Source organism: Homo sapiens, chromosome 4, assembly GCF_000001405.40.
Source record: "Homo sapiens chromosome 4, GRCh38.p14 Primary Assembly".
Classification (NCBI taxonomy): domain Eukaryota; kingdom Metazoa; phylum Chordata; class Mammalia; order Primates; family Hominidae; genus Homo; species Homo sapiens.
This window is the reverse complement of record NC_000004.12, coordinates 93,247,412-93,266,520: the sequence shown is the minus strand read 5'-3', so window position 1 is coordinate 93,266,520 and position 19,109 is coordinate 93,247,412. Positions and strand designations below refer to the sequence as shown.

Below are 19,109 nucleotides of genomic sequence, written 5' to 3'. Positions count from 1 at the left end.
AGCTTGGGTCATACACTCAACCTTTTGGGCTGTGTGTGTATGTGTGTGTGGGAGGGGAGTGGTGAACAGGTGGATGTGTGTGTGTGTAAAAATAATAGTAGTTATGTTCTGAATATATAAAACAACACAGGTGGCTTATAGAGTAGGTCTAGGGATTATAGTGCTGTTTTTCTCTCCTTTAGCAAACAGTGTTACAGACTACATTTTAATTAGCCTTCTATGAAATATAGTTTAGTATACAGTAGGTCCTCGAATAAAATTGTTTTGTTCAATGTTGTTTTATTATAATGTTGATGAGAAAAAAAATAATTTCTGGCCAGAGCCACTGTCTGTTTGGAGTGTACATGTACTTCTCTCATGGGTTTTCTCTGAATATTCGTTTCCTTCCACATCCCAAAGATGTGCACATTACATGAATTGACATGTCTGAATGATCCCCGTCTGAGTGAGTGTGTAGGAGTGTGTGTGCCCTGTGATGGAATAGTGTCCTATTAGAGTCAGTTCCCACCTTGCTCCCTGAGCTGCAGGGATAGGCTCCAGCCACCCAAAACCCTGAACTAGAATAAGCTGGTTGGAAAATAAATGAATGAATACAAATGATTGTAAAATAAAAATTCTTAAAGGAGATAATAATCCTACAAATGCAACAAGAAATGATGGGGTACTAAAGCTCTCCTCTAGTCTGCCATATTTTTCATTGTTTGATTTTGAACTGCATGGTGGGAAGGGGTGCTCCTTAAGATTTTCGCTTTGTAAACCTTTATTCCTTCAGTGGACTCACCACCACAATCACTGTCACTCACTAATTCACCAAAATTGAGTAAATAATTACCTTACTTGTTTTTATTTATCTTTCTTAAAAGTATGCATAGGTCACATTTATTTCAATGTTTCATGTTAGAATTGTTCTGGGTCTTTATTTAGAAGTTTGGTAATGTTTCTCTGACCAGAAATATGCCCTAAGAACTTAGCTCTTGTTTATATCAATTAGCCTATGGGAAAGTTGGTTTTATTATATGTAATTTCCTTTGAAGTGGCGGTTTCCAAGAACCCAGCAATGACCTTAAGTAAGGATTTACTATAGTTTCTAAATTAATCATTTTCCACTCATTTGATAAGGTGGCTCTTCAGAATGTCCACAACTTGGTTAGATTGATGAGATTAGGAAGTAAAGAATTAAATGGAGAGAAGCTTTCCTAAATCTTGTAAGTAAAAGACAGCACCTGCCTCCAATTGTTATAAATATTTTAAAACATTTTTTGGTTTTAAAACAGATTTTTTATGTCTCAACTGCAGGTAAATGTACACCTTATCTTTCCAGTTCCTGATTTGACAAATGAGCTTTAAATAGTTTCATGAGGGAAAAAAACCAAAATAGAATCCTGAAAAGACTACCAGTTACGTATGCAATTTTAATTTTATAAAAAAATTATAACATTAGGCCAGGCGCGGTGGCTCATGCCTGTAATCCCCGCACTTTGGGAGGCTGAGGTGGGCAGATCATGAGGTCAAGAGATCGAGACCATCCTGGCCAAAATGGTGAAACCCCGTCTCTACTAAAAATACAAAAATTAGCCAGGCATGGTGGCGGGCACCTGTAGTCCCAGTTACTTGAGAGGCTGAGGCAAGAGTATCACTTGAATCTGGGAGGCAGAGGTTGCAGTGAGCTGAGATTGTGCCACTGCACTCCAGCCTGGCAATAGAGCAGGACTCCATCTCAAAAAATAAATATATATTATATATATTTATATATATATATATATCATTCAAATGATATATATATATAATTCAAATGATATATATATATATATCATTCAAAACTCAAACATAACTCCTTGTGGGGGACTCAGGACCAATAATGAGATTAAACCTAGGCACTGAAATTATGTCCTCAGGAGAAGAGAAATTGTAGGAACACAGAAACCAAAAGTCATCCATGGAGCTTATTTTTCCCAGGTTTCCCATGTCTTCGTGTAAGTGCTTTGGATTTCACATACCCAAGAGATTTTCAGTCTAAAGTTTAAAAATCTATCCTCAAATAGCTTGTTTTGCTGGAAAGCTTACATTGAAACAATAATTAAGATTATTTTGCCATTGTTTAAAACTTCAAGGGGTCTAATTATTGTCACCTTGGTAACTGTAATTTTGCTGTGACCTTACCTGGAAAAACTCATACTATAATTTAAGTAAAATAAAGAAGTCATCTTCCTTGAAATGACAAAACCATTCCTTTGCTTATAAATTACCTGTTGGATTCTTAGTGCAATCATTAATGAAGAATAATTAGAGAAACTGCTTTCAATATTGTATGTGGTCAAAGTTATAAATAAGCCAAAAATAACATATTCTTTGCACGTGTCAATGAGTACTGCTAGGTTTTTGAATTTCTGGACAAAAAGTCTGCACTAAACTTGAGTTCAACATAGAAGCCCTACAATTAGCTGCCTGAATATAACCTGTGTGTTAATAGCATTGCAAAAGACAAGTTCAGCAAGAATGGTCATCAGAGATCAGATGATAATTTCAAGCTATGCAAAATGCAACTCTTTTCTGAACTGCCCTAAAACAAACAAATTCATTTCAATGACTTGAAACTGCTTTCAGTTGACTTCTATGCTCCCATTTCATAGCAATTAAGATAAGCATATTTCTCTATAATGATGTAGAGTCATTGCCACTGACCAGTAGTAGCCTGCTTTCGAAGGATAAAACTTTTGGCTTTTCACAAAGGTTTCTAACTAAGTAGTTATTTCTGACATGTCTTTTCAAATTACCCACTCTAACCCCTAAAGAATGACAAGAAAATGAAAATCTGCAAATTAAAAATAAGACCATCAGTCACCTAGACTCTGTCAAGATGATCCACTAATTATAAGCCAAATGAACTATATTGTGAAACAAAGATGAAAGCAAGTCATCTATTTAATTCAAATATAATATACTAAGATTTTAAGCATACTTAAAATATAATACATAATTTAAGGCATCATAAATCAATGAGAAGGATATATTTTTCCATATATAGAAAATTATTCAATTATTTTGGAAAAAATGTCCACTTAATTCTTTATAGAATGCCATACAAAAAAAAATCTCAGATGGATTGAAAAGATAATTGTAAATATTCAAACCACACAATGGGGGATGGAGGAAGCAGATGGTATGAGTCTGATATCTTGCTGAGTAACGGCTTCATTCTTTAGAAGTCAGTAGAAGAAATCATAAGGAAAGTGATTTGACTGTATTGAAATTACTACTTTTTCTAAGTCAAAACAAAATAAATCTAAAAAGTAAATCATCCATTAGATAAACATGATTAAAAAATATGACAAAAGATTAAAATCCTTGGCATGGAAAGATCTCGAAAAATTGATTAAAAATACTAGGCTTTTAAAATATAAATGAGAGAAAAATATGCATAATTAGAAATAAAAGAGAAAAATGAATTATTTGGTACTAGTAATAACAGAAATGGAAACTGGCACTATTTTTTTCCTATAGTTATCAAAAGTTTACAGCAATGTAACTCCTTAGTAGTGATAAGTGGAACAAGGAGTTACATTTTTGTAAATAGGCACTTTCATAACTTCTGGTGAAAGAGTAAAACGGAAAAAAAAATTTAATAGTAAACAGAAATAACATTTAAATACTTTAGAATGCTACAGACTTTAGTATAGCGATTTCATTTTTTTTAGAAATCTATTTATTGCATTTATTCCAACACTTAAAAGGGCAAAAATGGAAAAGGCCAAAAAATGAAGAGTTATTGGAATATTTGCGTAAGTTAAATGATAACATTAAAATACATTTATAGAGTTATAAAACGTATGTAAAATAAGAGGAAATCATCAAAATATCAACAGGAATTTTATTCAAAGTAGTAAGATTACGAATGATTTTTCTTTTTCTTTTCCAAGTTTTGCATAAGAAGTAGGTAAGTTTATATAATTAGACAAAAAGAAGCAATTGATTTAAAATTCCCTGTAAATCAAAGTGGAAAATATATGTATATAATGATTTGACAAATATCCAATTCATATTTTATGTTTTCTTCTTGAATCAGCCTAGAAACTGAAGACTCCATATTTGGGCCACAATCCTTAATATTCTTCATAACTGCCTCCCTGGGCATTTATGGTTTACGTTCTCAGCTTTCATCAAAAAATTATTTCAAAACAGGCTTATTTGCATTTGGTTTACAGAAGCTGTTGAAGAGAGTGAAGTCCTATGTGAGGCACTGCTTTAGAAAGGAATGCTAAGAAGGGAGACTGGCTTGTCTTATTGCCCTAATATATAAGACCTAAGTAACTGGTCAAATTTTTGACTGGGTTTCTGAAAGCCTGAAACCAAATTCTTAAGCTCAAATATAGTAACTGATATTTTTGTTAGTTTTCCCTTATTAGGTATTGACTTTTTTTACTTGCTAATTTTTTATTATACATTTAATATTTATAATATACATATTTTATTTCTCCAAGTTTCTTTAAACCCTTTGTGGAAGAAGCCAGAAGCTGGACGGATAAGATCAGGGGTCAGTAAACTATGGTTTGGCCCTTGAGCCTATTTTGGTTCAGTATTTGAGTGAAGAATTCTTTCACATATTTAAAAAATTAAAATACATATATATATATGTAACATGCATACATACATATATACAGAAAACATAAACAAGGAAGAATATGCAAAAGAGACATACATGGCCCACAAAGCCTAAAATATTTACAGAAAAAGTTTGCCAAACCCTAGATTAAATAGACGGCTAGATGGTTAGTCAGCTACATCTTTAGAGTTTCTCAAAATCCTCCACTACAGGAATACATACTCCTATACAAATTCCTCTGTTAATACAATATATACTCCTCTCTTTATAATATATTGTTCAATCTATTATATCAGTTTATTCAAGCATCTATCCAAGAGTTATCCTCTTAAATATGCCAGGCCCACGCATCTCTCTATTCTGTATATACAGGTCATTCCACTTGAAATTTTCTTTACCCTTTCCTCTATTATTTCCTGGTTTCCCTGGCAATTCCAGCCTGAGTGAGTGCTTAATTATAGGATTTCATCTAGAACTCACAACCTGTAATGTGGCACTTGTAAGAACCTGTCACTAATACTGAGTTAGATTGTGTACATGACTTGTCCCACAAAGAGGCTGTAAGCCACTTAGGTGCAAGGATCACATTGTATGTCTTTTGACAGTTCCTAATTCCCTATACTTTGCAAGTTTCCTATAAAGCACTTTCGTAAAGTGTGGTGGAACTACAGATACTGCTTGTTAAAAACACAGATTTTTGAGCTCCTTTCGAAAAGCCCTCAATTATAATCTCTGGGAACCGAGCTTGAGTATTGATGTTTTTTTTTAACATGTGTCAAAAGTGACTTTTAGTTGAACTAAAGTTGGAGAAAGATCTATGTTTGTTGATTCATTATAGGTATACTATATCATGCACATCTAACCCTCAGTCCCAGGGAACTATGATGAAGAGGATGCCCATTCTACTACTGATTATTCCTTACTCTCAAGAATGAATGCCATAGGCCACAGAATGATGTGCTTGTTAGGCCTTGGAAGTTACTTTTGGCTTCTACAGGCCAATGTTTTAATTAGGACCAGCCCAGGATGTCAACCATTGAATGTAATAAAGATCTCTGCAGTATAATTCTTGCCACACCATGTCTCTTTTATCACAACTTTATAGTTAGATGATTTCAGAGAAATTGGTTTATATTCCATTTCACCTAAATTCACTATAAGTGAATCAGAAACCCTATGATCATCCTGTGATTGGCCTGTTGAAAAAGGCAGTAGGATTTATGAACGTTGGGTACAAACTGGCATTCATGACTACCATAATATAAAGCTGACTGTGAGGTTACAGAGCAATGACTTATATTTTGAGTGTTTTGCAAAGACCAAATGTCACAACATAAAGCTGTCAGATAATTTGAGTATAAATAACAGTTGATGCTTGAATGCCTCTTTCCTTTACTTAAATTAACTTAAATTGTTTTAATGTAGTCGTATGCAAAGGCTGTCACCCTTTTAAGTGTCCAACTTCTAACAAATAAATAAATAAATATATAATATTTATCTTGTTATTTTAATATTTTTTTTTATATTTACTACAGGGTTTACTTGGCTTTTAAAAATGTACGCAATGTGCCTAATAGATGTATTTTGATTATTAAAATTTGACATTAAGAAACTTTATTATTTTTTCTTATAAAGATAACATATAGAATCAAAAATAATTTAAACTATATAGGAAATTTTGTTTCCAAAATAATGTAAAATTGCTTTTGTGATAAACTCCATGGATTTACAGTTTATCAGAATGCTAGTAAGAATCATCCTCTCCAGTAGGGCAAAGTATCAATGGTTTTTATAACACACTTCCAAAATAAGCATGCATTATATGTAATAAAATCACAATTCAAGGTAGAATAATTTAATAGCGGACACAGTTTTTGTACATACCTCCTACGTAAAATACTAATTTACCTAAGTCTTCCCATGAAAACTAAGAGAGAAAACCAAATTTTAATATCACATGGGCAATAAGCTATGTTTAAAAAATTCTCTCTCTTCTTACTCATTTAAGTGTGCTTTACTAATAGCAAAGGCAGTAGAAATGTACATATTTTTAACACATGCCCCCTATCACTTAGACAATATTAAGTATAGCCATCTTCAGATAGTCAAGAAAAACAACTTAAAACCAAGGTGAATGATGATATGTATGTTTAAAAGGGCTATTTAGCCTAACCTTCTTTATAAAATGAATTGAAAAAACATAGTTTTTGAACTTTACATGTAACCGTTACATTCACATTTCTTGTGAAATATGGGGTAAAATATATTAAAAAATAACTGAATAGTCAAAGGCTTTGCATAAAAATAAAAATATAAATCCTGATGATCAATGCTATTTTATTTATTTACTTAATTAGCTGTGCACTTGGCTTTGAAAATCTCTTTATTAAATTATTGACAGTATAAATTTCATGTATGTAAAAAGCCTATCATTTGGTAAGATTTGACATATATATGCACCTGTGAAATCATTTTAAAAAATCAAGGTAATGAACACAGTCGAGACTATTTTGAAAAGGAATATTGATTTCTTTGGGTTCTGGAAAACTAACTATTCAAAGACTGGATACTCCGGGATTGTAAGTGCCTAACTATGATTGATATGGAGCTGTGTATTTACAGCAATACCATTAAATGATATTCTAGTGACAAGTTAAATCCCTTCACAGTTTGGGATCTTAATTCTGCATGGTGCTGTAGGGCAATCCTTGTAAGGCCAACCAACTTGTCTCCTAGGTACTTGTCCTATCATCATGCATTTTTTTCATCTATTCACACAGGATTAATTGAGCAAATATTTACACTCTGAGAATGTCACCAAGATCAACTTAAAGCAAAAGGGAAAAATAGGCAAAGCATCTCTATAATACTTTTTTTTCTTTAATCTTTTTTCCCTTTCTGTGAAGACTCATTTTCCTGACTTCGCTGCCTCAGTGGTACTCTAGTCAGCACATCAGTCCTTATTAATATTCCTCACCTGGGGCCAGATTTTCCCAGTAGAGCCCTGTGGTCTGATTCTTTCATTCTGTTTATGGAAAAGAGAGGATAATAAATGAATCTTGCAGTAGTTGTGTTTGTTAATTACTTTCATGTTGTTTATAGAAAGAATAGATCAATAAATAAATCCATGCATTAGTTGTAGTGGTTAATTATAGCTTTAAATGACAATCCTTCAGGTTCAGATTATTTTAAAAGCTGTCATTTAATATTAGTTATGGCACTGCATAACTAATAACAAACTATTTAGCACCTTATGGATATTTTGGGTCAAGATAAGCACCATCCTGCTGCTTTTCAAATCTTATCATAATGCACTAAAGGAGTAATGCATAAAGCCACATTTGTCTCTTTACAACTCTGAGTCTTTTTTTCAAAACATGTCTTTGAAATAATATAAAACACCTCCATTTTTTCCATGTGTCTGTCATTATATACATGAAAGTAATATTGATATAACTTTAATTCTTTCATGAGTTTGTCCTCCAATATAATTTTCTTAATGATTTCAGTAATTTTCATTAGCTTTTTGGGAGAGGTAACACTACTTCTCTGACATTATGGTCCACTAAAATTTTTTATTCTATTTCACCCAAACTTAAATATCTTTGCTAGTTTTTATCATTGTCATTTTTTTTCCTTATTGCAAGTGAAAAGTTTGTCTTTTATTTCCATCCAATTTATTTTTGTTAGTTAAGGCACATTCACTGCTCTTTTATTAATGCTGAAAACTTAATTATTCAAACACAACAAAACTATATCTTTTTAATCAAGAATTACATGCTTCCATGAGAATAAAATTTTTTAATGTATGGTCTGCAATTGATTATAGTATTACCAGTATTGTGTGTTGTATTAGTATTACCAGTATTGTGTATATTAGTATTACCAGTATTGTGTGTGTGTGTGTGTGTGTGTGTGTGTATATATATATATATATATATACACACACATATTGTGTGTATATGTATATATACATATTTTATATCCAGAGGTAATAATTCTATAAAAATAAAATATTTTTATGTGGTAAATCCTTTATTCAGCAATAAGCAGTGAATAAAATTATATTTTATTCCTATGCGTTGCTGAAGTAGGAATAAATTAGGAAATCAGGAAATAATAAATAGATATTACCAAGTAGGGCACTCACACATCATGCTATCTTTCAAAAAGTATATTTTCATTATATTATATGAGAAAGATAATTCATAAAATGCTGTCAAAATTAAAGGAAGGTATTTGACATTTTAACATTAAAAATACAAAATGCATTGGAATATTTTATTTATGATACTTCTTTTTGATAAATGGTTAATATTAACAGAATTCTTGAAGATAAGAGAAATATATTTTCAGTTTATTACTTGTAGGCTTAAATGTCTTCTATCTATAGAAACAATCTCAATATTTGTAAAGTTAATAGTCTGTATAAGGAAAATGATTAAAATGTTTCTTAAATTATGCCATTTCTTTAAAAAATCACTATCTGTAGACTAATCAATAAATTTTTGGTTTTCATTTTCTACTGAATGGTATCTTAAACCCAATGTCATTGCACTGAAGTGAAATGCATCACTCTTTACAATGTAACAGGGCTACATCATTCATCTACCTCAATGATCTTTAAATTGCTATAACCAAGCTACAGTATCAAACAATCAAAATTTCTGTTCATTTCTTGGATATCTCTTATATTTGCAGGCAATTTCTATTGCTGATATTATTAAGTAAATCAGATAAACAAGATTAGAATGCTAGGCACTACATATATGTCATTTTCTGTGTTTCAGATCATTCGGAATGAGCTTCATTTTTCTTTTTCTACTTATTATTGACTTAAACGTTAAGTTGTTAGATTTCTTGCTTCTCTCCTGCTATTACTGCTATTTCTTTTTTGTCCCACGTGCATCAAAAAATAAGCAAATAATATTAAATTAGATGCTTTAATAAAACTATACAGCCAACATAAAAGTATGTCACAATCCTCTAATGTTTTGAATAACTTTAGATTTTGGTATCTCCTGCTATGTCACTACTTATGCATAAGACCCAAGCAGTTTCAAATTGTTTTGTATGTCTGTCACAAAACTATAGCACACTGTACAGAATAACTCAATTCAAAAATATTTGACCCTTTTCCCTCGCAGTACATATTAGTAATATAGAATGTATTTGGTCTATATTGCCTTTTACATTTATTTATCTTTCTTTTCTCAAGTGGATGATGTCTATATCCATATCATCTATCATATTTATATTATCTCTATTTCTATCTATCTATCATATTTTCTTTATAAAAAGATTACCAATAGTAAGTACTCAAAACCTTTGGATGATGCTATATGATCTTGAAGCAACCTGTGACTTTTGTTCCTCAATATAGGTCTAACCTTGCTATGCCATGATTCACCCAAATGGCTTCTTGGAAAAGGGGATTGATATAACAGCCCCATCATATTTTTGTGTGACTACATTGTGACCAAAAAAAAAAACCAAAAATTAAAAATCACACTTTCGCTAAAAAACCCTACTTATGATTATTTGTCTAAATAACATAATTTTGAAAATACTTCGTCCAAAATTACAATTCACTCTCTAGTGCACCAATGTATTTTCAATCAAAATATATTTCTGTTAGCAACAATAAGATAAAACTGAATATGAAGTCCTCAGTAAGTTAAAACATGGTTGCCATTCAAAAAAAGAAAAGGAAAGCCTTGAAAAAATGAACGGGAATATTACTTCTACCATCAAAAATGTGGACAGTGAAAAAAAGGCTAAAAGTTAAATATTACATAAAATATTGTAGGAGAAAGTCAAAAGAATAGGAAGAAGTGTAGCCAAAAATTATTTTGTATTTCAGCAATCAGGGTTTTCAAGAGAAAAGCATGAAAGAATTGATTTACCTTATAGAAAAATGTGAGCAATTTTTATAAGTAAGGTTTTTTAAAATAGATTTTTTCTTGGACTTCAATAAACTATAACATAACTATAAAACTGTAATTATATAGAGATTGTCTGTACTTACAGTGTGTCTTAGTCCATTTTGTGGGGCTCTAATAGGATACCTGAGACTGGGTAATTTATAAGGAATAAAGGTCTATTTAGCTCATAGTTCCTTAGTCTGGGAAGTTCAAGAAGCATGACACCAGCACCTTCATCTTTTCTGGTGAGGGCTTTCATGCTGTGTCACAACATGGCAGAAGTTCAAAGGGGAAGTAGACATGTCCAAAGAGACAAGACCCAAGGTGTTGGCTTTATAATAACCCCTTCGCACAAGAACTAACCCATTCCCATGAGAATTAATCCAGCCTTCCGAGAGTGAGAACTCACTTATTCCAGTGAGAAGGCATTAATCTATTCATAAAAGGTCCACTCACATGAACCAAACACATCCCCACCCTGAGGATCAAATTTAAACATGAGTTTTTGTGGGGACAAACCAATCCACATCATAGCAAACACATGAAAAACAAAAACAAAACAAAAACGTTTTCTCCTTTACTATTTATCACTAATAAGTAAAGGTTTTGGAATTGGGAGAAGACAAGTCTATGGAAAAGATACCTAACTAGAAGTCTAGTCTTTTAACAAACTAAAGGTTTTTTTAAGAAAGCCATTCAACCCACAAAACTTAGGCACTATATATATGTAAGATAGAGATGTTTCACCAAATGATTGCTAATTTTTTTCTTAATGTATGGTCCTTCAGAAATGTTTCGCATTCATCAGAAAAAATAATGCCTACTTGGAAAAACATTAGTATGTATATGAATGAATAAAATGTTCACGTATTTATTTTTTAAAGTAGATACAGCTAACACGAGAGCTATAAGCTATAAGAAAAAGAAAATATCTGGAAGAGACTATTGTATAATTAGGTTATCTAACACCAACAGCTAGAAAATAAATAGCATTTAGGAGGCCTGAATTTCTTTGTTTGTTTGTAAAAGACTGAGAATGTGACAACCACGGAAAGGAAAAGAAGGTGAAACAAATCTTATTTCATGACTTTCAATAAATAAAAATCACGTTGGAATGACAACCCAACCCCTGCATTGTAATTACTTTGTTTGTCCCAAGAATAATTATCCAATTTCCAATTTGCCTTGGAAGAAAAAAGTATACATAAACGTAACACTTTACATGAGAGAAAGAAATATGCAATTTCCCCCACAATCCTAAAAAAGACTGTCTCTTATTTAATGAAAGTGCACTTATTCAAATCATATTACAGCTCCAAATGGCTATAATCAGACATTCTAAAATGCATAAGCCTGTCACTGATAGATTTCTCATCTCATTTTGGGATATAGATTCATAACAACCTTGAAAGAATCAAAAGAAGAAATTCTCAAGCAAAGCATTTCAAATACAATTCCATTTAAAACCACAAAACTACTTTGATTCAGGTACTCCAGAGCAATAAAACTCCCCATAGTTTCTGATTAAGAATTGCTTGGAAAAGTTTTCAGTGGATAAGTGGTTTTCTCTTCATGAGCATCAAGTGACTTACTCAGGGTGATTATACTCAGCTAGATGCATTCATTTTACTAGTTAAACATTTCAAAGCACAACCTATATTAATCCAAGCTGTTTGTGGAATTATGTTAAAAATGAGATTCATTTCTCACTTTTGATTATTTTTCAAAATCCAGAAATATTATTTTACTATTATAACAGGATTTAATAACCCTGAAAAGTGTATTTATTGAATTTTTAAAAATCAAAATTCACTACCAGTAAGTAAAAGCCATTTTTTGCACCTGAATTACTATGATTAATAAAAGTGACTCTAATTACTCAAAAAGAGCATCTCCATCTCCAAACATTTATCTTATTGAAAAGAACTCTATAAAAACTCAGCTTTCTATATAACTTTGGTAGATTATTTATTAAATCTATAGAGAATTTACTAGAAAGACATTTAACACTCTAGAAGAAATGCTGACAATTTAAAATCAGAATAACAGGTCCTCAAAATATTTGTAGCTTCAACAAAATCAGAGGGAAAAGAAGTAGAGAAATAGTAACACTCGGGGAACCTATATCGACAACCTTAAGTGTCATGAACATAATAATTGATAGTAATACTATGCATCTTAAAAATAAGGCCTTATTTTGGAATAAAAATATTTAAATATCACCTTGAAAAAGGGTCCTTCAGAATTATTTGGAATTTGACAGAAATTTTGATAGAATTTGAGATTTTATGTGTGTGTTCACTTATGCTCTTACGGAAACTACAGACATGGATTAATTTGTTTGTTGTTTGTTTTTTAGTCTGTATTACTTCTTCAGTTATTTATATACTTATTTAATGCTTAGTAAATCTTTGGATTTCAACATGGTTACTAATTTTGGATTAGGAACAATGTGGACATTCATGTTTTGTTAAAACCTTTTTGATATTGTGGAAATCTTTAACTGTACATTATTTTACATTAATTATAATTAAAATCTAAGTAGCAATAAATTTTATTTAAAACGATCTAATATTAATTTTTAAAATTAGAACTAGTAAATCTATAATTTTTAAATGTTCTTTTTCAGAGTCCTTAGTTTCAAACTTTCACCAAAGGAGATAATTTGAAGACACATTTCATAAATTAAAAATAATTTTGGTTATGGTAAGAACTGAGTTTTTTGTTTTGTTTTGTTTTTTTAGACAGAGTCTCACCCTGTCTCTCAGGTTGGAGTGCAGTGGCGCTATCTCAGCTCACTGCAAGCTCCACCTCCCGGGTTCACGCCATTCTCCTGCCTCAGCCTCCTGAGTAGCTGGGACTACAGGCACCCGCCACCACACCCAGCTAATTTTTTTTTTTTTGTATTTTTAGTAGAGACGGGGTTTCACCGTGTTAGCCAGGATGGTCTCGATCTCCTGACCTCGTGATCTGCCTGCCTCAGCCTCCCAAAGTGCTGGGATTACAGGCGTAAACCACTTCGTCCGGCCTGAGTTTTATTATTATATGTAAAATTGCCACACTATAAAGTTTCTTCAGAATTTTTTATTCTAATCTAACATTGGAATATTTCCTATATACCAACAGTCAAGCCAAGAGCCAAATCACAAATGAACTCCCATTTGCAATTGCCACAAAAAGAATAAAATACCTAGGAATACAGCTAACAAGGGAAGTGAACGATCTCTACAAGGAGGGCTACAAAACGCTGCTCAAGGAAATCAGAGATGACACAAATAAATGGAAAAACATTCCATGCTCATGGATAGAAAGAATGAATGTCATTATAATGGTCATACTGCCCAAAGTAATTTACAGATTGAATGCTATTTCCATTAAACTACCATTGACATTCTTCAGAGAAATAGGAAAAACTATTTTAAAATTTTTATGGAACCAAAGAAGAGCCAAATGGTCAAGACAATCCTAAGCTAAAAGAACAAAGCTGGGGGCATCATGTTACCTGACTTTGAACTATACAACAGGACTACAGTAATAAAAACAGCATGGTACTTGTACAAGAACAGATACATAGACCAATGCAACAGAATAGAGAACCTAGAAATAAGACCATATACCTACAACGATCTGATCTTTGACAAACCTAACCAAAAAAAAAAAAAAAAAATGAAGGATTCCCTATTCAATAAAAGGTGCTGAAATAACTGGCTAGCCATATGCAGGAAATTGAAACTGGATCCCTTCCTTATACCATATACAAAAATCAACCCAAGATGGATTCAATAATTAAATGTAAAACCCCAAACTCTAAAAACCCTAGAAGAAAAGCTAGGCAATACCATTCAGAACATAGGCACGGGCAAAGATTTCATGATGAAGACCAAAAGCAATTGCAGCAAAAGCAAAAATTGACAAATGGGATCAGATTGTGGAAGACAGTGTGGCAATTCCTGAAAGTCCTAAAGACTGAAATACCACTAAACCCAGCAATCCCAATACTAGTTACATACTCAAAGGAATATAAATTGCTCTATTTTAAAGACATGCACACTTGTGTTCACTGCAGCACTATTCACAATAGCAAGGACATGGAATCAACCTAAATGCCCATGTGGTACATATACACAATGGAATATTATGCAGTCATAAAAAAGAACAAGATCATATCCTTTCCAGGGACATGGAAGGAGGCCATTATCCTTAGCATACTAATCCAAGAACAGAAAACCAAATACTGCATGTTCTCATTTATAAGTGGGAGCTAAATGATGAGAACCACGTGTATTCATAGAGGGGAACGACACATACTGGAGCCTGGAAGTGGAGGGTGGTGGGTGGGAGGAAAAAGAAGATCAAGAAAAATAACTAATGGATACTAGTCTCAATACCTGAGTGATAAAATAATCTGTACAACAAACCCTCATGACATGTTTACCTATGTAACAAATCTGCACACCCTGCACATGTACTCCTGAACTTTAAAGTTTAAAAAATTGGAATATTTACAAATATGGTTACAAATTAATTCAACATGATACAGTTTTGCTTAAAATAAGCTCTGCTTAAAATGAATTTTATAACCTAGTGTTATAGATCATATCTGGAAATAAATCAATTTTTGCCATTTAAAAAAATAGAGCTTCAAAAATTTTTGTGCATGTGAGGTTATATTAGAGAGAAATAATCAGAGTGCTAGTGCTAGAGAGGAGCTACTTCAAATCACAGGCAAAATATTACTCATCATCAAGGTCTAAATTACTTGCACACTTCTGATAAACAATACACAGATAATTTTAAATATGAAACATTTAAATACAGAACTATCCAACTAACAAGGAGAAAATAAATGTTATTCCATTCATTTTCCATAGCTAGAAATAATGTTTCTTGAATGCAAGGTCACAGAGTTTCACATATTGTGAAAGAAAGGCATGACTAAAGGGGGACATTCTCAATTTTCAGAAATATTTGCCATCAGGTAAATAAGGACATCTTTACATTAACAGGGGGTATGTGTTTAAGGTCCTAGTAAAAATACTGCACATTTGAATAACCTCCCCTCAAAAACCAGGACTATAACAAGAAACAGACTATCCACTCACAACCATGTTTTAATAGACTTTATACTTTTTAAAATGAAGGCCAGTTTTCAAACAGAATGTTTCTGGTTTTGGCACAGCCTTTCTCTCTCTTTCTATGTATATATATACATGCATGCACACTTTTTTTATATATATATAAATATATATATAACATTATATATATGCACATATACATGTAAACATATATACGCATGCACATTTTATATATATATAATATATAAAATATATAAATATATAAAATATATATATATATATGTAATGATTTCAGTAGAAAAGTTTTGCTCTCTGGAATGGCAACAATATGTGTTACTTGTTTTTTTGTAATATACCACTTTTTTTTTGTCAAGAAGAAAACCTTGGAGTAAACAGTACCCAAATCAATAGCAGAATTATTATTTTTTTTATGCTTTAAGTTCTGGGATACATGTGCAGAACTTGCAGGTTTGTTACATAGGTATACACATGCCACGGTGGTTTGCTGCACCCATTAACCTATCATCTACATTAGGTATTTCCCCTAATGCTATCCCCCACACAGCACCCCACCCTCTGACAGGCCCCAGTGTGTGATGTTCCCCTCCCTGTGTCCTTGTGTTCTCATTGTTCAACTCCCACTTATGAGTGAGAACATGCAGTGTTTGGTTTTCTGTTCCTGCGTTAGTTTGCTTAGAATGATGGTTTCCAGCTTCATCCGTGTCCCTACAAAGGACGTGAACTCATCCTTTTTTATGGCTGCATAGTATTGCATGGTGTTTATGTGCCACATTTTCTTTATCCAGTCTATCATTGATGGACATTTGGGCTAGTTCCAAATCTTTGCTATTGTGAACAGTGCTGCAATAAAAATATGTGTGCATGTGTCTTTATAGTAGAATGATTTACAATCCTTTGGGTATATACCCAGTAATGGGATTGCTGGGTCAAATGGTATTTCTGGTTCTATATCCTTGAGGAATCACCACATTGTCTTCCAGAATGGTTGAACTAATTTACACTCCCACCAACAGTGTAAAAGCATTCCTATTTCTCCATATCCTCTCCAGCATCCGTTTTTTCCTGACTTTTTAATAATCACCATTCTAACGGGCATGAGATGGTATCTCGTTGTGGTTTTGATTTGCTTTTTTTAATGACCAGTGATAATGAGCTTTTTTTCATATGTTTGTTGGCTGCATAAATGTCTTCTTTTGAGCAGTGTCTGCTCATATCCTTTGCCCACTTTTTGATGGGGTTGTTTATTTTTCTTGTAAATTTGTTTAAGTTCCTTTTTGACTCTGGATATTAGGAATACAACTTACAAGGGATGTGAAGGACCTCTTCAAGGAGAACTACAAACCACTGCTGAAGGAAATAAGAGAGGACACAAACAAATGGAAAAACATTCCATGCTCATGGATAGGAATAATCGATATCATGAAGTTGGCCATGCTGCCCAAAATAATTTATAGATTCATTGCTATCCCCATCAAGCTACCATTAGCTTTCTTCACAGAATTAGAACAAAAACTACTTTAATTTTCATATGGAACCAAAAAAGAGCCCATATAGCCAAGACAATCCTAAGCCAAAAGAACAAAGCTGGAGGCATCTTGCTACCTGACTTCAAACTATACTACCAGTTTACAGTAACCAAAACAGCATGGTACTGCTAACAAAACAGACATATAGACCAATTGAACAGAACAGAGGCCTCAGAAATAGCACCACACAACTACAGTCATCTAATCTTTGACAAATCTGACAAAAACAAGCAATGGTGAAAGGATTCCCTATTTAATAAATGATTTTGGGAAAACTGGCTAGCCATATGCAGAAAACTGAAAGCAGAATTCTTAAAATGGGAAAGAGTAAGCATCCCAGCCAACCCAAAGTTTCAAAAAAGTTTTCCTTAATACCATAGTTTGTACCAAAAACAAAGGAACAAGTATCAATCAATTTTCAGTCACTACAGAATAGCTTAATTAGGACTAATGTCTTAGTGATGTCTAAATAGCTCCAATGGGTCAGGTGTCCTGATTAAGAAGGAAAATAAAATTACTGGAAAAAACAGACATAGGAGGCAATACAAGCATCAGTAACCTAAAGCCATTATTACAATTCCAATTATGCATTACTCACATGGACATAATATTCATTAGTTTGAATGAGAGTCACCCCCCTGCCAAATAAATGAACTATGAAACTTCTATTAGCACTTTTTGTGAAATTAATGCTCAAAACTATTCAAATTTAAATTATATAAAACCTAGTTACTGCTAAAAGAGAATGTGTAATCCCCTTGAGGCGTCCAGATAGGCCTGAGAGAACAAGATATATATATCTTTCTCTCAGACTACAGAGAAATTTAGAGAGCAGAGAAAGCAGAAAATTTGAGGTGTAATGAAAAGCCCCTGGAATTTTGGTTCAACAGAACCTATCATATCATGAGTGTTGTCATGTAATAAATTTGTCTGTGGTAGGCTTCCAACACATATGGGTGAATGGCTTACTCTTTGAGTCTCTCCTATCACTGTCTGCCCACTTGTGCAATTTCTGTGAAATAAACCTTCACTATCTGTCACTTAAAATTAAATCATGACAATGAGATCTTGCTAAAGGAGTACCCATATGAGCAAATGCTTCTTAATTCTGTGAATTCCTAATATAAGTTCTTTTAATAATTATTACCATAGTACTGGGTCCTGAACATTAGTTACCACTAGTGGCTGAAACTAGGAATTAGGTTGTTCAGTGGATGTTAAGTACCACCACATCATATTGTTGAATTTGAGCTGGACTGGAGCTTCACTGGTGTGTGTGTGTGTGTGTATCTGTTAGATATTGGAGTGACACAGATTCCAGTGTGCCCCACTGTTGATGCTCTCTAGTAGAGTGGGAAGGAAACTAAACTTTGCCTCCTCTGTATCAGACACAGTCTTGAACTCCTAACCCAACTAATCCTAAGCATGTGGACTACAGATGACACCACAGACTATCTCGGTCTCTTTATGAGCATATTCATGTCTGTGAATGTTCTCTGAGAGTATGGATGCCAATAGTAGCTAAATTCCTCACAATTAGCTCTTCCCTCAAACGTGGTAAGATATCATACCAAGGTATTGTCAGGGTTCTCCAGGGGAATATATGTATATATAAATATATATTTAAATATAAATATATGCCATATACAGAGATTTGATATGAGAGATTGGCTCACATAATTACGGAGGCTAAGAAGTTCCAAGATTAGCTATCTGGAAACTAGAGAACCAGAAAAGTGGGTGGTATAGTTTCAGTCTAAACCCAAGGGCCTAAGAAACAAGAGAGCCAATGATGTCAGTCCCAGTCTGGGTGTAAGGCCCGAGAACTGGGGGGCTGATGGTGCAATTCCCAGCTGGAGTCTGAAGGCCTGAGAACCAGGAGTGCCCATGTCTGAGCGCAAGAGAACATGAATTTCCCATCTTAAACAGGGAGCAAACTTACCCTTTCTCTGCCTTTTTGTTC

The 19,109-nt window shown here is 32.9% G+C and overlaps 1 protein-coding gene across 18 annotated transcripts in view; it reads right to left on the bottom strand.

The window, feature by feature from the left end:
• GRID2 (glutamate ionotropic receptor delta type subunit 2) overlaps nt 1-19,109 on the bottom strand; it is a 1,506,491-nt gene that overhangs the window by 543,936 nt on the left and 943,446 nt on the right. For 11 of the 18 annotated variants that reach the window (XM_024454024.2, XM_017008120.3, XM_011531893.3 and 8 more), the window contains one exon: nt 7,578-7,625. The exons of the other annotated variants lie outside the window; for them this stretch is intronic. In XM_024454024.2, coding sequence (XP_024309792.1) covers nt 7,578-7,625 — 48 coding nt within the window. The remainder of the gene's footprint in view (nt 1-7,577; nt 7,626-19,109) is intronic. 18 annotated transcript variants of the gene reach the window in all.